Source organism: Homo sapiens, chromosome 11 (genome assembly GCF_000001405.40).
Source record: "Homo sapiens chromosome 11, GRCh38.p14 Primary Assembly".
NCBI classification, from domain to species: Eukaryota; Metazoa; Chordata; class Mammalia; order Primates; family Hominidae; genus Homo; species Homo sapiens.
This window is the reverse complement of record NC_000011.10, coordinates 97,267,000-97,292,100: the sequence shown is the minus strand read 5'-3', so window position 1 is coordinate 97,292,100 and position 25,101 is coordinate 97,267,000. Positions and strand designations below refer to the sequence as shown.

Below are 25,101 nucleotides of genomic sequence, written 5' to 3'. Positions count from 1 at the left end.
ATAGGAAATCCAAATAATATCTTTAAGTAGAGAGTACATAGATTAAGAATGCAAACAGATGGCTTAACACATTTGCAACTTTTTTTCTCTTTTATACCATGAAAAGAAAGAGGAAAGGGAAAAAGTCTAGACAGGTATCCATTACACACAGAGATGTGCCCTGTCTTACTGACACCCAAGACTGCCTTATAAATTCCCTCTGAATAAATATTTGACTACTTACCAACCTTGAATGGTCTGCCTCATTCTTTGTCCTGAGCTTATCAAGAGCAGTTCTTGGTTAGCACAGAGAGTTTTCCCAACACACAGGGTTGAGGCCCTCTAAGGATGCATAAATAGCCAAAGCAGAAAACCAGTCTTTTGGCCACATAAGATCTTAATTCCAACATAACTCCATAATTAATTGATAATATACAATATCATCTATTTTTTTTTACTATTGTTAAAAATTTGTTTATTGTTTCTCTCAAGTCAAGAATCTACTATAGCTGTTTATGGTCTATCATATTAGGCCTTACCGAGACCAGCTCAGTCGGGGAGACCCTAACCCAGTGGCGCTAGAGGAATTAAAGACACACACACAGAAATATAGAAGTGTGTAGTAGGAAATCAGGGGTCTCACAGCCTTCAGAGGTGAGAGCCCCAAACAGAGATTTACCCACGTATTTATTAACAGCAAGCCAGTCATTAGCATTGTTTCTATAGATATTAAATTAAAAGTATCCCTTATGGGAAATGAAGGGATGGGCCGAATTAAAGGAATAGGTTGGGCTAGTTAACTGCAGCAGGAGCATGTCCTTAAGGCACAGCTTGCTCATGCTATTGTTTGTGGCTTAAGAATGTCTTTAAGCGGTTTTCCGCCCTGGGTGGGCCAGGTCTTCCTTGCCCTCATTCCTGTAAACCCATAATCTTCCAGCATGGACATTATGGCCATCATGAACATGTCACAGTGCTGCAGAGATTTTTTTTTATGGCCAGTTTTGGGGCCAGTTTATGGCCAGATTTTGGGGAGCTTGTTCCCAACAAGGTCTAAATTCCAATTGTTATTTAAATCTTTCAATCTAGTATCACCTAATATGAATTATCTCTCCAACTAGGTTGGTTTCAGGTTATTTTTCACTGGAGCCAGGGAGTACAAATCAGATCTTAAACCTGCAAGTCCTAAAACAGGGTCTGCCTTGGGAAATCTAGGGCATCAAGTTCTTAGATGATAGGACAATATAAGCCAGGCAGTAGTTTCTTAGCTAAGCACCCTCTGAGCCAGTAAGCAGTTGGCTCCATTTAAATAAGTTAAAAATAGACTAACCAGCAGTTAAAATTTTCAGCACAGCAAAAAGCAGTGAGGACAAGGTTTATTCTTTGATCTCTAAAGGTTTGCTTCGTTGAGTCTGATAATGGTGCATGACGTGAAGAATGTTAGCTATACTCTGGTCTCACATTACCTTGGTTTTACTTAGTCATCAGTGTAATTTATCTAAGGGCAACTTGCTGCTAAAAAAAGAGCTCAGCTTGAAGCCTTCTAGCTTACACAGCAGGAGTTTCTAGAAATTTTACCGCTGGTAAGGAAACTCTTATTTATGGAATCAGGGATCCTTGTTAACATTTTGACTGTTTGGCTTGCAGGCAGAAAACTTTTTTCTATTGCTAGATTTGTCCTGTTTGCAGGAGGCTGAAATATATACAGAATTAAGAATTGACCCTAAGTCCAGGAACTGAAGTAAACCAGAATGAGCATTAAAAATTTTACAAATATAATTCATTTCTTATTAATTTAAAAGTATTATGTGCTTTTTAGGAGAGATTTGTAGGTAGCAAGTATGATTAAAGGGGTATAGTTTGTAGGCATGCCCATGCTGTAATATAGGAAGCTTAGCAATGATTCAGGTAAGTTTCAATCACTCTAGATAATTTTTTTTCTAAGCTGACAATAGAGAGTGAGTATACATACATTGTGAATAAGAACTTGATTTTTTAAATCAGTTATAAATGAGAAAAAAAGCTAATTCCAATATCAACTAATAATATCTCTGTTTAAATAGTCCATGACTAACACGATGTGGTTTACTCTCACACATTTGCTATAAGAGCTCCTAGACTTAGGTACTGTCTGAAGGAAAATGGAAAATAAATGAATTGAGCTATCCCTACTGCATCGTAGCTACACAAGGGATAGTTGCCTTAATCAGTGAAGAACAGAAGGACAAAGAATATATTGGTAGGAGGTATACAGGAGATGAAGGAATCAGAAACCTGAACTGAGAATTAGACTAATTTTGGGGTCCTAAGCTTTCATCTTCCTCTTCTTCTATCCACACATCCATCCATTTGTCCACCCATTAACAAGGATTTAAATATTAAACATAAATTACAAGCCAAGCACTACCTCTAAACAAAGAGGCTCACAATTTGAGAAATAAAATAAAATGTGAGAAATAAAACCCTCAAAAAAGATACACCACAACTGAGGAAGTGCTATCACATTTAATAACATAAACAGAACAAGTGTTGTGAAGTTGGAGGGGGCCTCTCTGTGGATGGGCCATTTGAGCTGGGTCTTAAAGACTGAGAAAGAGTTTGCCAGGAGAAAAAGAGAAGTGAAGACATTTTAGGTAATCATAATAGCATATAAAATGGCTGAAAGTTGCAAATTAAAAACAATGACACTGATGTTGCTATGTAAAAGTTAAGCAGAAACTTAGATGCATAGAAGACACTGATGACAGAGAGTTTATGCATGGATTTTGTGTGCTATAAATATTTTAAAATTTTTTAAACATAGGCAACTTGTAATTGTAGAGAGCTTTTTAAATAAGAAAAGGGCTAGTCTTGTTCAACTCCCGCTTATGAGTGAGAACATGCAGTATTTGGTTTTCTGTTCCTGTGTTAGTTTGCTGAGAATTATGTCATCCAGCTTCATCCATGCCCCTACAAAGGACATGAACTCATCCTTTTTTATGGCTGCATAGTATTCCATGGTATTTTATGTGCCACATTTTCTTTATCCAGTCTATCGTTGATGGATATGTGGGTTGGATCCAAGTCTTTGCTATCGTAAAATGTGCTGCAAGAAACATACGTGTGCATGTGTCTTTATAGTAGAATGATTTATAATCCTTTGGGTATATACCCAGTAATAGGATTACTGGGTCAAATGGTATTTCTGGTTCTAGATCCTTGAGGAATCGCCACACTGTATTCAACAATGATTGAACTAATTTACACTCCCACCAACAGTGTAAAAGTGTTCCTATTTCTCCACAGCCTTGCCAGCATCTGTTGTTTCCTGACTTAATAATTGCTATTGTAACTGGCATGAGATGGTATCTCATTGTGGTTTTGATTTGCATTTCTCTAATGACCAGTGATGATGAGCTTTTTTCATATGTCTGTTGGCTGCACAAACGTCTTCTTTTGAGAAATATCTGTTCATATCCTTTGCCCACTTTATGATGGGGTTTTTTTTTCTTGTAAATTTAAGTTCCTTGTAGATTCTGGATATTAGACCTTTGTCAGATGGGTAGATTGCAAAATTTTCTCCCATTCTGTAGGTTGCCTGTTCACTCTGATGATAGTTTCTTTTGCTGTGCTCTTTAGTTTAGTTAGATCCCATTTGCCAATTTTGGCTTTTGTTGCAATTGCTTTTGGTGTTTTAGTCATAAAGTCTTTGCCCATGCCTATGTCCTGAATGGTGTTGCCTAGGTTTTCTTCTGGGGTTTTTATGGTTTTAGGTCTTATGTTTAAGTCTTTAATCCACTTTTGAGTTGAACAGTGAGAACACATGGACACAGGGAGGGGATCATCACACACAGGGGCCTGTCAGGGGCTGGGTAGCAAGGGGAGGGAGAACATTAGGACAAACATCTAATTTACACGGGGCTTAACACCTAGATGATAGGTTGATAGGTGCAGCAAACCACCTTGGCACGTGTATACCTATGAAACAAACCTGCACATTCTGCACATGTTCCCAGAACTTAAAGTAAAATTAAAAAAAGCAACTACACTACTCAAATTAATAATTTTTCATAAACCCTTTTTACATTAACATCTTTCTTAAAATGGAAGAGGAAATGAGATGGAAAAAAACCCCACATCAATCTGCCGTCAGCTCTTGATAGGTTAATGCTTCTACTGTTTCAGCACTTAGTAATTGATTATTTTTAATATTGATAAATACTTATAGAAGATACTGAAAAATAACAATTTACAGCATGCTAGAGTCAAACCTCAAATTACTTTTATCTTGCACGGAAGAATTAATGGTCTGATAAGACTTCATGTGTCATTTCCAAAAAAAGTAAAACAGTTAAGTGAACTCGTTTATACAGATCACCTCAGTTTCAAAAGAAATTTTACTTGACTTTTCTGTTTCACACTGGTGATTTGTTTTACGTATAAGGATATGGCCTGAAAGCAAAAATGTACTGAAGTAGGAATCAGGACAATTGGTTCTGTTTCAAGTTCTGCCTTGGCCAAATCACCTGACTGTTGTGGGACTCAATTTCCTCACCTACAAAATGAAAATTGTGGATTGATTACTAGTGCTCCTGTCATCACTAAAATTCCATGGTTGTACAAAAAGGAAAAAACATTCCCAAATTTTGAAAAGAATGAGAGTAAAAGCATGACAAAATTGTGCCAATTGGATAAAATAATAATACAGCTAAGACACGTGCCCTAGTGTCCCAAGGCAGGTGTTTTTGCAAAGGACCTACGTTTACTGACCACCTACATAGATGGAAATGAGGGCGATGCTATCACACTGTGTGCAGCTGAGAAACCCTCCATTGTATATAGAAAGGACAGACTTAACTTGACCCAGTAAATAAGCCAAAAATGGGTACCAATTGTTACTAAACTGCAATTAACAATACTTTGCAAACTTCTCCTTTTTACAGCTGGATAGAAATAAGGAGAAGATTTAAAAAAAAAAGTAGGTCTAGCAGAGAAGATTTAAACACACACACAACCTCCAACAAGACAATATTATCATTAACTAGGAAGAACAGACACCAGAACTTAACCAGAACGAGTGACATAGAGTAGCTGAAAGAGAGAGTTACCAGATTCTCCTCTTCGGCCTCGCTTACCTTGTTTTCCTGGAGGGCCTGAAATCCAAAGGATAATTTTTTGAGTGCAGTTTAACTTTTTTTCATGGTTCCAAAATGGCTAATAAATAATTTCTATACATTTTCTTATCATTTTTAACTACCAACTTCAAGAAAGGGGCCAAATATTTGTAAAGGTCGGTATCATCTTCAGTGTTTCAGCAAAACTCTTAAGCTTCATTTAATTATAAAAACTAACCTAGATACATGATCATCCAGTGTTACTTAAAAATATTAATGATTCAGAATTTTTGTTCATTGTGCTTTGATATCATCAATAAAGAAAGGGTTTACTAAGAAAAAAGAAGAAAAAAAGAAAAGGGCTAGTCTTATATTTTTATTTAAAAATAGTAACTTGGGGAGAAATATTGATAATGATCAAAAAGGTGACTTTAACAATAACAGTTGAAGCAAGGCACGGTGAAGTGCTGAATAAATGGCCAGAAGGTCTGGAGAAAAGTGGCCCAAATTGAAAGATACACCTGAATAGCATTCTACAGGATGTTAAATGTGATATATTTAATTTTGAAAACTATCAATTTGGTCACTACAATGAAATTTGAAATTTATGATATATTCAGCATTCTAGAACACATTGAGTGTGGTTTTTTTTAACAAGAAGACTTTTTATGTATTTTCTGTTTTATTGGCATTGTTTGGTTCAATTTCCTTTTACTCTGTCTCCCTACTCAACTTGTTGTTTTATCTATGTTTTTAAAAACTCTAGAACCCTTAACTATATTCACACCTTATGACAAAGACATTTTAGATCTGGGTAATATGGTAATCTTAATAACATTTTATAATTATTTAGCACTTTCAAAATTTCTTTCACAGAACTTCATGTGTTTCTCTTAACAAATCAGAAGCATTATGTGAAAAGTATGGCACTTAGAGAGTAAGTTTGGCCAATCTCAGAAAAAGTCAATATTCCAACACTGACCATTTGACTACAAATATGTAACCTATTATTCTACACTATACAACCTTTTTTTAAAAAAATCGATTTCTTAATGCTATCTGCATTTTCAAACCATATTTATTTTCTTAATTTTGGATCTCTATGTTTTTACTAAAAGTAATCACAGAAAGATTAAAGTTACTAAAATTCTTACATAATTAAAAGACTCTGGATGTAAAAATAGAGTGCTGGTGACCTACTCTTAAAGGGTTTATTTTTAATTAAATAAGGAAGGATCATCTGAAGTGTTCTATTCTGTAAAGTGATCACATTTGAGTGCTCAATAACTGTAAAATATAATAACAATTACTAAATAAGCAGTGTTAAAAAGAACATGTACTAGAAACAATAGCATGAACTATCATTCAAAACAATTAAAATATCATTAGGGTTATAAACTTCATAAAGCTTTACTCTTGGCTCTTTATGTAAAAGATGTCATAGGTAGTCAATAAACCTAAAGCTTTGCACTAAATACACTTCACAGAAAGGCCTAAATTTTTTAATACTTGTGCAAATAAAATTTCTGTGTGGTGCAGCATCCTTCACAGATCAGCTAACTTAAGAAGCAAGTTAATTGTGAATAAAATTATCTTGGGTTAAGTACTGATCAATACTGATATATCCTTACCAATAGCCAATGAGTCAACTCTCTAATTCAAACAGTTATTAGAACTCTAAAACTTTAACACTAAAGGCATGTGCCCAGGTGGGCAGAACTACCATTCCCACAGCCTCCATCTCTCTTTCATTTGATTTGTATAGTCTTCTAGAGTTTTTCTTACTTTCATTACTATAGACAAAATGAATCATACTGAGAATAAGACAATTCTGCTTCCCATAAGTTGCTTTCAATCTTGGCTCTTGTAAACATAGGAGTGCAGATATCTTTGAAGTCTTAGATTTAAGTCTTTAATCCATTTTGATTTCATTTTTGTATAAGGCAAGAGATAGGGATCAAGTTCATTCTTCTGCATATAAAAATCCAGTTTCCCCAGCACATTTAAGAGACTGTCTTTTCCTCAAGGTATGTTCTTGGCACCTTTGTCAAAAATGAGTTCACTATAGGTGTGTGGATTTGTTTCTGGGTTCTCTATTCTCTTCTATTGGTCTATCCGTCTATTTTTATGCCAGTACCATGCTGTTTGGGTTACTATAACTCTGTAGAACAATTGGAAGTCATGTAAATTGATTCCTCCATTTTTTTTCCTTAGGATAGCTTGATCTACTCTGGGTCTTTTGTTGTTTCATATAAATTTTGGAATTCACTTTTCTATTTATGTGAAGAATGTTATTGGTAATTTGATAGAGATTACATTAACTCTATATTGCTTTGGGTAGTATGGACATTTAAACAATATTGATTATTCTAGTCTATGAATATGGAATCTATCAATTTTTGGTGTCCTCTTTATTTCATCAGTGTTTTATAGTTTTTATTATAGAGATCTTTCACTTCTTTGGTTAATTCTTAGGTATTTAATTTTATTTGTAGCTGCTGTAAATGGGATTACCTTTTTGATTTTGTTACTGGTATATAGAAATGCTGACTTTTGTATGTAGATTTTGTATCTGGCACATTTATTTAATTTGTTTATCAGTTCTAATAGTTTTTTTGGTTGAGTATTCAGGTTTTTCCAAATATAAAATCATACCAGTGAATAGGCATAATTTGACTTCTCTCTTTCCAATTTGGATGCTCTCTATTTCTTTCTCTTGTCTAGTTGCTCTAGCTAAGACCTCCGGTACTACATTGAATAATAATGGTGAAAGTGGGCATCTTTGTCATGCTGCAGTTCCGAGAGAAATGACTTTCAGATGTTCCCCATTCAGTACAATACTAACTGTTGGTCTGTCATATATATGGCTTTTATTATTTTGAGGTATGTTCCTTCTACATCCAGTTTCTGAGGGTTTTTATCCTGAAGGGATGTTGAAATTTATCAAATGATTTTTCAGCATCTGCTGAAATGATCATATGGTTCTTGCCCTTTATTCTGTTGATATGTTTTACATTGATTGATTTGCATGTTGAATGGCCCTTGCATCCCTGGGGTAAATCCCACTTGGTCGTGATGAATAATCTTTCTAACATATTGTTGAATTTGGTTTGCTGTTTTGTTGAGTATTTTTGCATCAATATTCATCAGAGATATTGGCCTCTAGTTTTTTTTCTTTTTCTTTCTTTCTTTTTTTTTTTTTGATGTGTCTCTGGTTTTGGTATCAAGATAATACTGGCCAGATAGGATGAGTTTGTAAGTACTCCCACTTCCACTATTTTTGGGGGCAGTTTGAATGGGATTGATATTAGGCCTTCTTTAAATGTTTGGTAGAATTCTGAAGTGAAGTTATTGGGTCCTGGGCTTTCCTTTGCTGGGAGACTTTTTATTATGACTTTGATCTCCTTACTTGTTCTTGGTCTGAACAGGTTTTGGATATTTTCCTGGTTCAATCTTAGTAGGTTGTAAGTGTGCAGGAATGACCCATTTCTTCTAGATTATCCTATTTATTAGCATATACTTACTTATGGTAGCCACTAATGATCCTTTGAATCTCTGCAGCATCAGTTTTAATGTTTCATTTTTTACCTCTGGTTTTATTTCTTTGGGTCTTTTTTTTCTTGTTAGTCTGGATACAAGTTTGTAATTTTGTTTATCTTTTCAGAAAACAACTTTTGCTTTATTGATCTTTCTGTGTTGTTTTCATTTCATTTGTTTCTGCTCTGATCTTTCTTATTTCTTTTTTCTACTAACTTCTGTTCAGTTTGGTATTACTTTTCCAGTTCTTTAAGATGCATCATTAGGTTATTGAAGTTTTTATTCTTTTTTGACGTAGGCATTTATAGCTATAAATTTTCTTCTTAGGACTGCTTTCATTGTATTCCATAGGTTTTAATATGTTGTGTTTCCATTATCATTTTTTTCCAAGAAATTTTTCAATTTTCTCATTAATCCACTGGGTCATGTTGTTTAATTTCCATGTGTTTGTATAGTTTCCAGAATTCTTTGTTATTGATTTGTAGCTTTATTCCATTGTAATCAGAGAAGATGCTTGATATTATTTCAATTTTTTGAATGTTTTATGACTTGTTTTACAATATAACATACGGTCTATCTTTGAGAATGAACAAAATGTATATTCTGCAGCCATTTTATGAAATGTTCTGTAAATATCTATTAGGTCCATTGATTCTATAGTGCAGATTATTTCCAATATTTCGTGATCTTCTGCCTGGAATACCTGTCCAATGCTTAAAGTAGGGTACTGAAATCTCCAGCTATTATTGTATTGGGAGCTATCTCTCTTTTTACCTTTAATAATATTTGCTTTATATATCTTGGTATTCCATGGTTGTGTGGATATATATTTATAGCTATTATACCCTTTTGCTGAACTGACCTTTTTATCATTATATAATGGCCTTCTCTGTCTCTTCTTATAGTGTTGGTCTCAAAATCTATTTTCTCTGATATAACTACTCCTGCTGTTTTTGGTTTCCATTGTCATGGAATATTTTTTTCCATCCTTTTATTTTCAGTCTATGTACCTTTATAGGTGAAGCATGCTCCTTGTACCTTGTAGGCAAAAGATCACTGGGCCTTGTTTTTTCATACATTCAGCCACTCTGTGTCTTCAGATTGGAGAGTTTAGTACACCTACATTCAATGTTATTATTAATAAGTAGGAACTTACTCCTGCCAGTTTGTTATTTGTTTTCTGGTTGTTGTGTGTTCTTCTCTTATCTTTTCCCCTTCCTTTCTGTCTTCCTTTTAGTGAAGATGACACTCTCTGGTAGTATGCTTGCATTTCTTGCTTTTTATTTTTTGCATATCCATCATATGTTTTGTTATTTTTGGTTTGAAATTACTATGCGGCTTGCAAATACTATCCTATAACCCATTATTTTAAATTGATGACAACTTAGCACTGATTATATTAACAAACACACAAAAGAAAAACAATAAAAACTCTACATTTTAACTTTGTCCTCCACTTTTTAACATTTTGTTGTTCCTTTTTATGTTTTGTACTGTGTCTTGCAAAGTTGTAGTTATTTTTGATTGGTTCATCATTTAGTCTTTCTAATTAAATTGAGAAGCTTATGCAGTAAAATTATAGCACTGTACTATTCTATATTTTCCAGTGCTTACTATTACCAGTGAGTTTTGTACCTTCAGTTGATTTCTTCTTGCTCATTTAAAGATTACCAGTGAGTTTTGTACCTTCTGTTGATTTCAGATTTAAAATCTCCCTTTACCAATTCATGTAGGGCAGATCTGGTGATGAGTTCCCACAGATTTTATTTATCTGTGAAGTTCTTTACTTCACTTTCATGCTTAAAGAATGTTTTTGCTATACAATTCTAGGTTAAAAGATTTTTTCTTATTTCAGCACTTCAAATATATCATGCCACTCTTTTGGCCTGTAAGGTTTCTACTGAAAAGTCTGCTACCAGACATACTGGAGCTTCATTGTAGGTTATTTTTTTCTTTTCTCTTGCTGCTTTTAAGATCCTTTTTTAATGCTTGACTTTGGAAATTTATTAAATGCCTTGAGGTAGTCATCTTTGGGTTAAATATGCTTGGTGTTCTATAATCTTCTTGTATTTGGAGGTTGATATTTTTCTCTGGTTTTGGGAAGTTCTCTGTTTTAACCCTTTGAATCAACTATCAACCCCTGTCTCTTTCTCTACCTCTTTATTAAGGCCAACAACTTAGATTTGTCCTTTTGATGCTATTTTCTAGATCTTGTAGGTATGGTTTTTTAAAATTGTTTTTCTTTTGCCTCCTCTATGTATTTTCAAATAGACTGTCTTTAAGCTCTTATTCTTTCTACTGCTTGATCAGTTCTGCTATTCAGAGACTCTGATGCATTCTTTGGCATGTCAATTGCATTTTTCAACTCTATATTTTCCCTTTGATTCTTTTTAATTATTTCAATCTCTTTTTATCTGATTAAATTCTGAATTCCCACTCTGTGTTACAATGAATTTCTTTCAGTTTCTTCCAGACAGCTATTTTGTATTCTCTATCTGAAAGGTCACATATTTCTGTTTCTCCAGGATAGTCCCTGGTGCCTTATTTAGTTCATTGGGTGAGGTCACGTTTTCCTGGATGGTGCTGATACTTGTAGATGTTCTTAGATATTTAGGCATTGAAGAGTTAGGTATTCATTGTAGTCTTCACAGCCTGGGCTTGTTTGTGCCTGGCTTTCTTGAGAAGGTTTTTCTAGGTTTTTGAAGGGACTTAGCCCCAAGCCCAATAACATTGTGGATTTTGAAGACTCATAGAGGTAACACTTTGGTCATCTTGGATAAGATATAGAAGACTTTTCTGGATTACCAGTCAGAGTCTCCTGTCCTTATCCCTTATTTTCTCCCAAACGTACAGACTCTCTCTCTCTCTCTCTCTTTCTCTGTACTGAGACACCTGAAACTAGAAGGCTGGTGATGCAAGCACCCCTGTGGCCACCACCACTGAGACAGTGCTAGGTCAGAACTGAAAACTGGGTAGCACTAGGCCCTGCCGAAAGCCCTTGCCTTCAGGGTGGTCATTTACCCCAGGCCCCAGGCATATCCAGAGATGTTGTCTGGAGAACAAGGATTAGAGTCAAAAATCTTAGCAATTTTCCTGAAGTTCTATTCTACTGTGACTAAGCTGGCACTTAAACCTCAATGCAAAGTTCTTCCCCATCTTTCCTTCCCTTTACAGAAGCAGAAAAGCCTTCCCTCTGGCCACCACCACCACTGGTCTATGGGGACTTCTGCGAGGCTACTGACAATGTTTGCTTCAAGTCCAAGGGTTCTTCCATCAGTTTTTGGTGAAGGCTGTCAGATCTGAAACTCACCCTACAGGAAAGTGGGCTCGCCCATGGCCCAGGGAAGGTCAAGAAATGCTGTCTAAGAGCCTACACCTGGAGTCAAGGACCCAGAAAGCCTGCTTTTTGCTCCACTCCACTGTGGCCGAGCTGATACCTAGGGTGCAAGAAGATGTCCCTTTTGCTTTTCCCTCTGCCTTTCTCAAACAGGAGGAGTCTTTCACTATAGCCACCACAGCTGAGAATGTGCTGAGTCTCCCCTGAAGCCAGCAGATCTCAGAGCCCAAGGCCCATAGTGTACTCCCTGGGTATCACTGGTAGTTATCCAGAGCCCAAGGGCTCCTTAGTTAGCAGGTGATGAGTCCTGCCAGGATTGTGTCCTTACCTTCAAGACAGCAGGATCCTTTTTGGCATAGGATGTATCTAGGAATGCCATCCAGGAGCTAGGGCTTGGAATGGGGGCTTCATGACTCTGCCCGGTGCCTTATCCTTCTGTGGCAGAGCTAATATTCGAGATGCAAGACGAAGTCCTCGTTACTCATTGCTGTCCTCTCCTAAGCATAAGGAAGAAGGTGCTTTTGTTGCTAGGAGCTGTACTGCCTGGGGCTGTGGGAGGGAGGGTACATGTCCTCCCTTTGCCATGCCAGCTGGTATCTCACTAGGTCATGTGCCACCCTAGTCCACTGGCTCTAAGCCCAACCTAGCACTGGGAGTTGCCTAGGAATTGCAAACCTTGTGTTCTAGACTACAATTCAAGTTTACCTAGGACCTTGGGGCACTTCAGTCTGCAGTGATGAGGCTTGCCAAGAAAGTTTCAACTGCTGTGATGGGTGACTGTCTGGCTAGGGCTGGTCCAAATGCTCTTTCCATGTGCAGATGCTAGCTGAGCCCAGCTCAGCTTTATTCTCTGCTGTGACAAAGCAGCACAAATTCTGTGTGAAGCCCTCCAATCCCTGCACTGTCCCTCCTCAAAGTGCAAACATTATTACTCCAAACAGCAGGGCTGCTGCTGAGGGACATGGGGGAGGGGAGGTGTCAGAGATTCAAGACTCTCTCAAACCCTTCTCAATGTCCCTTTCAACAATATGGACATAATATGCTCACCTAATTTTGGGTTCTTGTGACAGTGTTTTTCTGTGTGAAGACAGTTGTTAAAATTTGGCGTTCTAGTGTGGGGGATGAACAGTGTAGGCTTCTATTCCACCATCTTGTTCCACCCCTTGTAGTGTATGTTGAATTCAGGCAGTGTGATGCCTCCAGCTTTGTGCTTCTTGTTCAGAATTGCTTTGGCTATTTGGGATCTTTTGTGGTTCCATACAAATCTTTATTCTTTTTTCCTATTTTTGTGAAAAGTGTCATTGGTGTTTTAAAAGGGATAGTATCAAACCTGTAGATTGCTGTGTGCAATATGGTCATTTTAACAATATTGATTCTTTCAATTCACGAACACAGAAAGCCCCTCCATTTGTATCCTTTTCAATTTTTCTCAGTGGTTTGTGGTTTTCAGTGTAGAAATCTTTTACTTACTCAATTAATTCCTAGATTTTTTGTAGTCTTTGTAAATGTGATTAACTTCATTTTCATCTTGTTCATTATTTGTGTCTAGAAATACTATGGAATTTTTTTCTCTAACTACTACATTTATTAGTTCTAAGAGTATTTTGATTGAGTTTTTAGGAATTTCTCTACATAACATATTGCCTACAATGGAGGACAATTTTGCTTCCACTTTTCCAATTTGGATGGCTTTATTTCTTCTTCTTGCCTAATTTCTCCAGTACTATATTGAAGAAGAGCGTGAAAGTCAGCATCCTCATTTTGTTCCAGTTCTTAGAGATAACCTTTTCTGCATTCACTATTGTGTTAGGTGTGGGATTGTCATATATGGCCTTTATTCTGTTGAGGTATATTTCTTCTATTCCTAACTTGTTGCAAGTTTTTATCATGGAGAACAGTTGCACTTTATCAAATGCTCTGTCTACACCTATTAAGATGAGCATATGTTTTTTGTCCATCATTTGATTGATGTGATGAATCACATCTTTGCATTGCTGGGGTAAGTCATACATGCATACTGGGATAAATAATCGTATATTATCTTTTTGATGTGCTCTTGGATTCAGTTTCCTACTATTTTATTGATGATTTCTGCATCTATGCTAATTAGACATATTGGCGTATAGCTTTCTTTTTCACTGTATCCTTGTTTGGTTTTCAAACAGTGTAATGCTGGCCTCATAGAATATATTAGGAATAATTCTTTTCTATATTTCTGGAACAGTTTGAGTAGAATTGGTGTTTGCTCTTTTTTGAAAGATTGGCAGAATTCAGCAGTAAAGCAGTCCTGTCCCGGGGTTTATTGGGAGGCTTTTTATTACTGACTCAAACTTGTTATTTATTATTAGTGTGGTGAGCTTTTTCATTTCTTCCTAATATATGCCTATGAATTCATTCATTTCCTATAGGTTTTCTATTTGTTGGCATATACCTGTTCATAGTTATCTCTAATGATCCTTTGTATTTCTGTGGTATCAGTTGTATTATCTCCTTTTTATGATTTTATTTATTTGGGGCTTTTGTTTGTATAACAACTTTTGTTTTAATTTCAGGGTACAAGTACAGGTTTGTTACATAGATAAACTTATGTCATAGGGGTTTATTGTACAGATTTCATCACCCAGGTATTAAGCCTAGTACCCACTGTTTTTCCTGATCCTCTCCCTCCTCTCACCCTCCATTCCCCAAAAGGCCCCAGTATGTTTTTCCCCTCTATGTGCCCATATGTTATCATTTAGCTTCCACTTATAAGAACATTCTGTATTTGGTTTTCTGTTCCTGTGTTAGTTTGCTAAGGATAATGGCCTCTGGCTCGGTCCATGTTCCTGCAAAGGGCATATTGTTCTTTTTCGTGGCTGCACAGTATTCCATAGTGTATATGTACCACATTTTCTTTATCCAGTCTATCATTGATGGACATTTAGGTTAATTGCATGTCTTTGCTATTGTAAATAGTACTGCAATTAACATATGTGTGCATATGTCTTTATAATAGAATGATTTATAATTCTTTGAGTACGTACCCCGTAATGGGATTGCTGGGCCAAATGGTATTTCTGTCTTTAGGTCTTTGAGGAATTGCCACACTGTCTTCCACAATGGGTGGGCTAATTTCCACTCCCACCAGCAGTGTATGCTTTCTCTCCACAACCTTGCCAGCATCTGTTATTTTTTGACTTTTTAATAATGGCCATTCTGACTGGTTTGAGATGGTATCTCATTGTGGTTTTGATTTGCATTTCTCTCATCAGTAATGTTGAGCTTTTGTTTATGTACTTGTTGGCTACATGTATGTCTTCTTTTTAAATGTGTCTGTTCGTGTCCTTTGCCCACTTTTTTATGGGGTTGTGTGTGTTTTTTTATTGTAAATTTGTTTCTTATAGATGCTGGATATTAGACCTCTGTCAAATGCACAGTTTGTAAAATTTTCTCCTATTACTGTGAGGACAGCTTCTTTTGCTGTGCAGAAGGTCTGTAGTTTCATTATATCCCATTTGTCAATTTTTGCTTTTGTTGCAATTGCTTTTTGCATCTTCTTTGTAAAATCTTTGCCTGTGCCCTAAATGGTATTGCCTATGTTGTTAGGATTTTTATAGTTTTGGGTTTTACATTTAAGTCTTTAATCCATCTTGAATTAATTTTTGCACATAGTGTAAGGAACGAATCCAGTTTCATTCTTCTGCATATGGCTAGCAGTTTTTCAGCACCATTGATTGAATAGGGAATCCTTTCTCCATTGCTTTTGTCAGGTTTGTTGAAGATCAGAGAGTTGTAGGTGTACGGTCATATTTCTGGGTTCTCTATTTTGTCCCATTGATCTATGTGTCTGTTTTTGCACCAGGACCTACTGTTTTGCTTACTCGATCCCTGTAGTATAGTTTGAATTCAGGTAATGTGATGCCTCCAGCTTTGTTCTTTTTGCTTAGGACTGCCTTGGCTATTTAGGTTCTTTATTGGTTTCATATGAATTTTGAAGTAATTTTTCTAGTTCTGTGAAGAATGTCAATGGTAGTTGAATAGTAATAAATAGCATTAAATGTACAAATCGCATTGGGCAGTATGGACATTTTAACAATATTGATTCTTCTTGTCCATGAGCATGACATGTTTTTCCATTTGTGTCATCTCTGATTTCTTTGAGCAGTGGTTTGTAGTTCTCTTGGTAGAGATCTTTCATTTCTATAGTTAGTTGTATCTGTAGGTATTTTATTCTTTTTGTGGCAATTCTGAATGACAGTTTATTGTTGCTTTGGTCCTTGTATTGACTGTTGTTGGTGTATATGAATGCTAGTGATTTATATGGAATATCTTTTTTCAAACCTTCACTTTCAGTTATGTGAATCTTTACAGGTGATTAGAGTGTTTTTTAGGCAGAATACAGTGGGGTCTTTTGAAAACATCTATTTAGCTTGTCTGTATCTTAATTGGAGGATTTAAAACTTTGACACTCAAGGTTGTTATTGATAAGTGAGGACATACTTCAGTCATTTTGTTAATTGGCTTCTGATTATCTTGTATGTTATTTTTTCTTATCTTGGTCTCTTACTGTTTATCTTTGTGATTTGGTAGTTTTCTATAGTGATAACTTGATTCCTTTCTTTTTTATTTGTGTATGTGCTTTCACAGTGAGTTTTATAATTTTGTGTGCCCTCATGATGGTAGATACTATTCTTTCATTTTCAGATCAATCATTCCTTTAAGCATTTCGTGTAGGGTGGTGAATTCTCTCCATTTTTTTCTTTGCCTGGGAAAGACTATTTCTCCTTCATTTCAGAAGGATACCTTTACTGTGTGTATTATTCCTAGCTGACAGTAATCATTTTTATACTCTTTGCATATATTATTCTATTTTTTCCTTGCCTGTAAGGGTTTTCCTGAGAAATCTGCTGTTAATAGTTTGATAGGATTTCCTTATGAATGACTTGGCACTTTCCTCTTGCTGTTCTTCGAATTCTCTTTGTTGTTGTCTTTTGAAAATTTGAGTATAAGGTGCCTGAAGAGAAACTCTTTGGATGAATGTATTTGGGAAACTTTCAGCTTCCTGTATATGTATCTCTCTTCCAAGATTTGAGAATTTTTTAAGCTATTATATTATTAAATTGTTTTTTCATGGTTTTTCCTTATCTCTTCTGAAACTCTCAAAACTCAAATATTTGTTTATTTGATGATGTTCCATGTTACATACACTTTTTTCATACTCTATTTTTACTTTACTTTCTATTGTATTTTTATTTCATCCATTGAATTCTTCAGTTCTAAGGTTTCTGTCTGGTTTGTTTTTATGTTATGCACCTTATTTAATGTCACATTCGTTTGATCATAAATTGTTTTTCTGATATTTTTGTATTATGTATGTGTGTTCTGTTTTATTTCCTGAAGATCATTATTTTTGAATTCCTTTTCAAACATTACATAGATATTCTTTTCTTCACAGTCTTTTACTAGGGAGTTACAGTATTTCTTTGGAGATGTCACGTTTCCCTACTTTCATGTTCCCCTACTTTTTCATGTTTCTTGTGTTAGTACATTGATATCTACACATCTGGTATAAAACTCACTTCTTCCCATATTATGGAGTAGCTTCTGTCTGGGAGTACTTTCTTCTTGCAGATGTATCTATAGTGTCAACTGAATAAAACACATTAGCTTTGGTGTTGGGTGGGTACCTTAGTGTAGTCTCCATAGGATTTCTTCAGCTTTAATAAATATCAGTGGTATCTGTAAGTTCCTCACTGGCTTAGGCTGTGGTTGTGTGTGGAGGCTGTAGTAAGGCTTTGCTGGAGACTAGGGCACTGGGTGGATTTCTCCCTAGGCTCCAGGGTGGCATACTTGGGTACCAGTTGTGGTGGTAGTGGGCCATGGGTAAACTAGTACTCAGTTCCCCTGATGGCTCATACAGACAGAGTGATGTTGGCGGCTGGATATAGCCTCAGGCTCCTGTGGCAGGTTGTGTGGTCACAGGCAGTAGTGGTGGCAGTCCAGACAGGCCAGTCCTTAGACCCTGGACATTATGCACAGGTAACTCTGGTGGCAGTAGGAGGCCAGGTTTTCAGTCTCCAGGTGGTACACATGGATGCACAGCAGCCTGCGCTCTGGAGGGGTGAGATTGTATTGATGTCTGTGTCCCTAGTCAAGCAGCTCTCAGAATCCACGGAGCACATGCTTTGGCTCCCTATTTCCTGGGTGCAGCCTCCTGGATATGCTCAATTATCTCTTCCCTGGGATATAGGATACTGTATGGACTCGGGTACCAGAGACATGATGGCACCACTGGGTCCAGCTGGTGTCATAATGCTGCAGTCAACTGAGTCAACATGAGGTAATGTCAGTTGGGCCCTAAGAATGTGAAAATACAGGGTTAATTGGGCTCCAGGGAAGGATGTAATATGGTGTTGCCTCTGCTCTCCAAATGCCACTGTGCTGCAGCATCCTGGGTCCCAGTGTGTGGACGAGACCCAATGTAAATATCCTCTTTGAAATAATGTAGTTGTATGGACTCCAGGTAGTTTCCTACACTAACCTCAGGGCCTCTAAGGACTTAGGAGCTCCCCTGTTACTAGGATTGCAGACATATGTGGTGGAAAGGTGGACTATTGACAATGTCTCACCTACCATTTCTCCTATAACCATAGAGTCCTCTCTGGCTCTGAGCCTGTCCTCACTGGCTGCTTCACGTCCCTCTCTATGCTGCCATCTCAAGTTTTTATGGCTCAGAGAGTTCCTGTCACTTCCCTGCTGAATTCCTGTGTTCTTCCTTAGAAACTCTATTCTATTTTTGATTATCTACTGGCTGTTTTGTTTCTTCTTCGTGGAGAAGGTAAGTGCCATGTACTTCTAGTCAGTCATCTTGATGACTTGTCTAAAAAAAAATTTTTTAAAATGTGTTTTCAACTATATTATGTTCAAAAGATATTCTCAAACTGTAATGAGCTTCATAATATATCATGTAGTTTATAAAACTGCAGCTCCCAAAATTGTCAATCCATTTACTCATTTTTTCAATCTATAACACAAAACAGTTTAAGGACAAATTCCTAAGAAAAAGTTGAAGTTTTTAATTGTGTGTTTTATTTGATATATGTTTAACTTCTTTTCAATTTACATGAGTTCATATATTGGTATTCATGGTTATTTATTCCCACTTTTCAATCAATCTTTCATTATTTTATCCATCATTGTTAAATGGTATTCTTTGACTCTCACACATTACCTGCCCAGTAGTGAATAATTTGAATCTTTCCCCTTTCTCTTGCTCTTCTGATAATTTTAGTAGCAATGTTTTCTACTTGTCAAATCATATGTTTACATAATATTTTTTAATGTTACCACTCTTGGTTGTATGTTGGTTCTATGATTGAAAATAATAAATGATCCAGTAGCCTATGTTTTCAAAGTTTCCCTAGGCATTTATGGTTAGATGGCACCCATCCTTCAGTAGAATTCTCAGAAACAGCACTTGAACACAGTGAACTCTGGTGTTCTTGAATATTGCAAACTGATTTTCTATGTTCTTAATACTTGAAAGAGAGCTTGGCTTGATCTAAAATCCCTGGCTCCTATTTTGTTCCTTTAAACTTCTTAAAAACATTGCTTCACCATTGCCTTACTTTGTGCATTTGAGAAAAATAATTATTTTTCCCTTATTCGTTATTTAATCTTTTTGTCTGGAAGCCCTAAGGATTTTTTTCCATCTTCCAATTTTAGGTTTTAATAGAGTATATCTCAGAATTGATTGCTCTTGTCAATATTATGAGGTACCCACGAGCCCTATCAATGCTTAGCTTCTGTCTTCTTCTATTTCTAGGAAGCTTCCTTGGATTACACTTTGGGCAGTTTTTTTTTCCCCCATTGTTGTTTAGTTTGTTCTTCTATTCAGGGACTCCAATATTTATATGTTGGATCTCCTTTATATGACTGCTATTTCAACTTACTCCCTTTAATCCTTTCTTGAATTATTATTATTATTATTATTTTTTTTTTTTTGAGACAGAGTCTCACTCTGTTGGCCAGGCTGGAGTGCAGTGGTGCGATCTCGGCTCACTGCAACCTTTGACTCCTGGGCTCAAAGCAATTCCCCTGCCTCAGCCTCCTGAGTAGCTGGGTACAGGCATGTGCCACCACACCCACCTAATTTTTGTATTTTTAGTAGAGATGGGGTTTCACTATGTTGGCCAGGCTGGTCTCGAACTCCTGACCTCAAGGTAATCCTCCCAAAGTGCTGGGATTACAGACATGAGCCACCACGCCCGGCCGAATTATTTTCATTCTTATGTTTACTTTCCTTCTTTTCTATATTCCTTATTAAATGTTCATGCAAATGTATACTTGCTTGGACATCTTGGACTTTACTCTTCATTTCTCATATGATTTTGCTCTGTTGAAAACATTTTCTTCCTGAGTTTAACAACTATAACATTTCTTCATATTTTTTACCTATACAATTTTAATTTGTGAATTTCTAATTCAAGATTTCTTTTCATACCTAAAATGGCTTCTATTACATGATACAATTCCATTTGAAATGTTACTTTAATAGTTGATTTTTAAAGAAAAGTTATCAGCTGTAATATTTCTATTCATATTTTTTAAATTTTATTTTTACAATAGCTTTGTAAAATATTAATTTAATTTGTATCTCCTATATTTAAGCATTTGTGAAAAGAATTTCTAACTTACATGTGCCTTCTTCCCTTGCTTAAAGGAACCATTTTCTTTAATGAAAGATATTGGGTGGAGATAGAATTAGGTATGTTTTCTTTTTAGTTTGTCCTTTTACCTCTTTAGAATTCTGATTTTTATTTTATCTTATCTCCCTACAATGCTATGTCTCCAAGTTTAATCATGCTTACTCTGTTTACAAATACAGAACTCACGCCTCCTTAAAAACAATACTTCTATTCCCCCTCAATTTTGAACCATTTCCTACTAATTATAAAAAGTGTGCTCATTAGGTTTATACTATTAGATTTTTATTTCAAGCATTAAGGGTTTTATCTTGTTGTTCCATGTCCCCCTCCTCTTTTTATTAGACTCTTATATCCCTTATTATACTCTCTAGACACATTGGCTTGAAATGATTGTGGCCACTTTGTTGTAATTAGGTGTATTTATTTCTCTACTTTATAGGTAATTTGAAGGTAGCAGTATTTCTCTGAATTCTAGGAATGCTCAAGGTATAGTCCATATATTTTTATTTGTTTTACTTATTTTGCAGCTTATGAATTATAAGATACATTAACAGAGTTCTCAGGGATTTTCTTTTTCTTGCTTCATGAAAATTTATTTCTGTTTCTCCAAGGCTTTAGAAGAATTTGGCTTATTATATATTGGTGTTGGATATATTTGACGAATCAAGGAATAGGACTTATCCATAGTTGGGGGAAATGTTAATGTATCAGCAGCAGTAGATTAGACAAATGAATCTACAAGACCATAGACATGCTTTGCAAGGCTCTGGAACCATGGTATTGGCCATTGTGATAGATGAAAATGAGGATAGATTTTTGAAGCATAAACATTCATTAAGAAACAAAAAATGGTCAAATATAAACAAGCTTTTTAAGTATATTCATTAGAAGTTAGAGTTCAGGCTTCTCTTATCTGTAAATCACAAGGAAATGATATTTGCAGTCTAGATAATTTGTGACTATTTGATACTCATATCAGTCAGTCAGGACTCTGTGGTTCCAAGTAATTAAACCTGACTTCTGTTAGTTGAAGCAGAAACTAAAGAAGGTATCATCTTTTAGAACCTAGCCACTTAAAGAATCAATACAGGTCTGACCTAAAGTGCTTAGTTGAATGATATTAACTCAAAGACTATGTATGTGTATTTGTGTGTGTGTATGAGTGTGTGTGGGCATGCTGTATAAAGGTAGATTATACATGTATGTATATGTCTAATATTGTAAGTGTGTGTATTACACATTGCATACAACTATCTCAGACATTCAAAATTTGCAAAAAAAAATTTACCTTTTTCTTTGAAATTCTGCAGTCAAGATATCATAATTTTTCTGCACAATATACCAGGAAACAAAACATTTGCATTAACTCAGATAGTAAGTAGACTATTACACCATAATGTATACTATCCTCCAAACTAGCCTGGTCAAATAATATGTTACATGTTTACAGATATCGTATGACTGTCAAACAAATATAAGGAAATTCTATTTCTGGAATGGTATTATGAGAAGCTGAATGGGCCACTCAGTGAAATGAACATAACTGGTAATAATAATTAAAAGTAATGTCTCTGGAATTATTCTAAAGGCATACAGCCAAAGACGACACATTTATTTAAGAAAACCTACTAAAACTCAGTAAGAACAATGAGACTGGCATTTGAACGATGACCTCTCTCTCTGCACTCTCAGCATAATGTGATGGAAACTTCCCTCAGGCAAATGTAGCTAAGAACACAACTATCCCCCTAGTGGAAGGGTATGATATCTTCTGAGGAGGAGCAAGCCAGTGGAATTTTTTTTTTTAATACTCCTTTCAGCTACTTTGCAGAGGCTAAATTCCAGGCAAGTTCACTGAAGAGGTCAGTGGCTCGCTTTATCCACTGAGCCCCACTCATGGGTGGGGGCCTTAGCTTACGGACAACATGCTGAGAACACCAGGCCCCAATGGCTTTCATACCAACTCATTTATAAGGAAGAGTTTCCCCACCTAATCTGTAGAAAAGAAGCATGCCTAGAAAACTAGGGGTGTACATGCCTTTCCAGCAGGGGTAACTCAGCGAAAAGTGGTCCAAAGTCCTGGACTGCAGCTCTAGGAACTTGGTTCAGAAATTTTGTCCAGGGGCAGAGGCAAGTCTCAACAGAGAACTCTGAAGCTTTACTGAAAAGAACTGACTTCACTTAAGTAGAGTCTGGCGAAGTTCAAGCCTAACGGTGCTTTCCAAAACATTGAAGGTGTTAATAAAGCAATTACATGGAGGTAACTTCATGAGAAGAATAAGATCAGTCATACTCAAGCCGCTTTAGGAGAGACGAGGGGAATGAGACAGCTAAGAAAAGCAATCCTGGAGTCATAAAAACCTCATATAGTGGCCCCAAATACTATCTGGGCAAAGGTCCTCAATTTAATTGGAACAGTCTATAGAACAATATATGCCCCATGGAATTTTTGAAAACAGAGTACCTGATCAGCAACTCGATGTGATCAGTGTAAGAAACAGTTAAAGATAGCTCTGCTGAAACTACTGTCATCCCAGGGTGACTTTGAACATGTCCAGAGCTATAACCTCTGAGGAGCGACTTCAGGAACTTCATGCCTTGGGACAAATAGACTTCACTAAAATATTCCAGACAGTCACTAAACAAACAGAAAACAACTACTGCTACTCAGAAGAATCAATAAGGAAATAAAAGATGTGGACAAGCTTATATACCAACCAGATGTAACAGACATCTGTAGAACACTGCACCCAACAACAGCATAGTACACATGAAACATTCTCCAGGGTAGAGTATGTGTTAGGCCATAAAATAAGCCTCAATAAATTAAAGTAATTGAAATTCTACAAAGCATATTCTGCAGCCACAACTGAATAAAATTAGAAGTCAATAACACAAAGAAATTTGGGAAATTCACAAATACATGAAAATTAAACAACATACTCCTAAATAACCAAATAATCAAAAAAGAAATCACAAGGGAAATTAGAAAGTGCTTTGGATATAAATTAAATGAAGACAAAACATACCAGAGCTTATCAGACGCAGTTAAAGCAAGTACTTAGAAATCTGTAGTTGTAAGTGCCTATTATTTTAAACAGGGAAAGATCTGAAATCAATAAGGTAACATTTCACCTCAAGACACTAGGAAAAAAAGATCAAATTCTACTCAAAGAAAGATTAAAAAAGCAAATAGTTTTGAAATTAATAAAATACAGACTATAAAAACAATAACGAATAAACAAATCAAAAAGTTGTTTTATTGAATAGCTTAATAATTATAAATATTTAGCTAGACTGAAAGAAGCGAGAATGCTCAAATTACTAAAATCAGGAATGAAAGAGAACACTACTAGACTTAAATAATAAAGTATTGTCAGGGAATACTATGAAAATTATGTGCTAATAAATTAGAAAATTTAGATGAAAGAACAAAACACTAGAAAAACAAATTGCTAACACTGACTCATAAGGAAATAGAAACTTCATATAGACTTAACAATGTTTAAAGTAATTGAATTGATATTTAGAGAAAAATAAACTACTCACAGAGAAAATACAAAAGCTCAGGCCCGTTTACTTCAATGGTGAATTTTAACATTTAAAGAATTAATACCATCTTTTTACAGACTCTTACAAAAAAATGGAGCAGGAGAAGTGTATACTCCCAATTCTCTGAGTCCAGTATTACCCCGATACAAAACCAAAAAAAGAAATAAAAGGAAAAGAAAATAGGAGAACTATATCTATATCTCTGTCTATCTATCTATCCATCTATCTATCTAGAGAGAGGCAAAATTTCTTAACAAAAAGCTAGCTCACCAGATCCATCCATATATAAGAGACTAGACATTGTAACAAAGTAAAATTTATCCCACAAATGCAATACTGATTTAACATGTAAAAATCTATTAATGTATGCAACATGTTAATGCAATAAAGGACGAATAAAATTATTGCAATAGAACCACAAGTAGCATTTAACAAAATCCAACACCTCTCCATTATGAGAATACTCAACAAACTATGAATATAAACAAAATTCTTCAATTTGATTTAGGGAATCTACCAAAAATCAATGGACAGCTGCATGCTTAGTGGAAAAACTGTATTTTCTTCATAAAATCAGGAACAAGGCAATAATGTTTTCTCTTACCACTTCTATTCAGTATTATACTGAAGTTTCTAGTAAGGGTAAAATAGCAATAAAGTGAAATAAAAGACACCAGGTTGAAAAAGAAGTAAAACTATGTATCTTTGTAGATGGCATGATTTTGCATATAAAACTCTTCTAAGACATTCACCACAAAACAAATTCTGCAAGGTTGCAGCATATAAGATTGCTATACCAATATCTTTTGTATTTCTATACACTTGCAAGGAAAAATCCAAACATGTAATTAAGAAAACAATTTATAATAGCAGCAAAAATTGCTTAGAAATTTAACAAAAAAGTCAAAACTAATACTCC

The 25,101-nt window shown here is 35.6% G+C and overlaps 1 long non-coding RNA gene across 2 annotated transcripts; it reads left to right on the top strand.

Annotated features, from left to right (window-relative positions):
* Positions 1 to 1,505: 1,505 nt before the first annotated feature.
* LOC105369450 (uncharacterized) lies at positions 1,506 to 21,148 on the top strand. Of its 2 annotated transcripts, none has more exons than XR_007062859.1 (4): positions 1,506 to 1,559; positions 18,576 to 18,760; positions 20,645 to 20,689; positions 21,070 to 21,148. It is a non-coding gene; the product is annotated as an uncharacterized LOC105369450 (long non-coding RNA). The 2 variants fall into 2 exon arrangements; XR_947939.2 differs by lacking the exon at positions 1,506 to 1,559 and adding an exon at positions 18,179 to 18,262.
* The last annotated feature ends 3,953 nt before the right edge of the window (positions 21,149 to 25,101 follow it).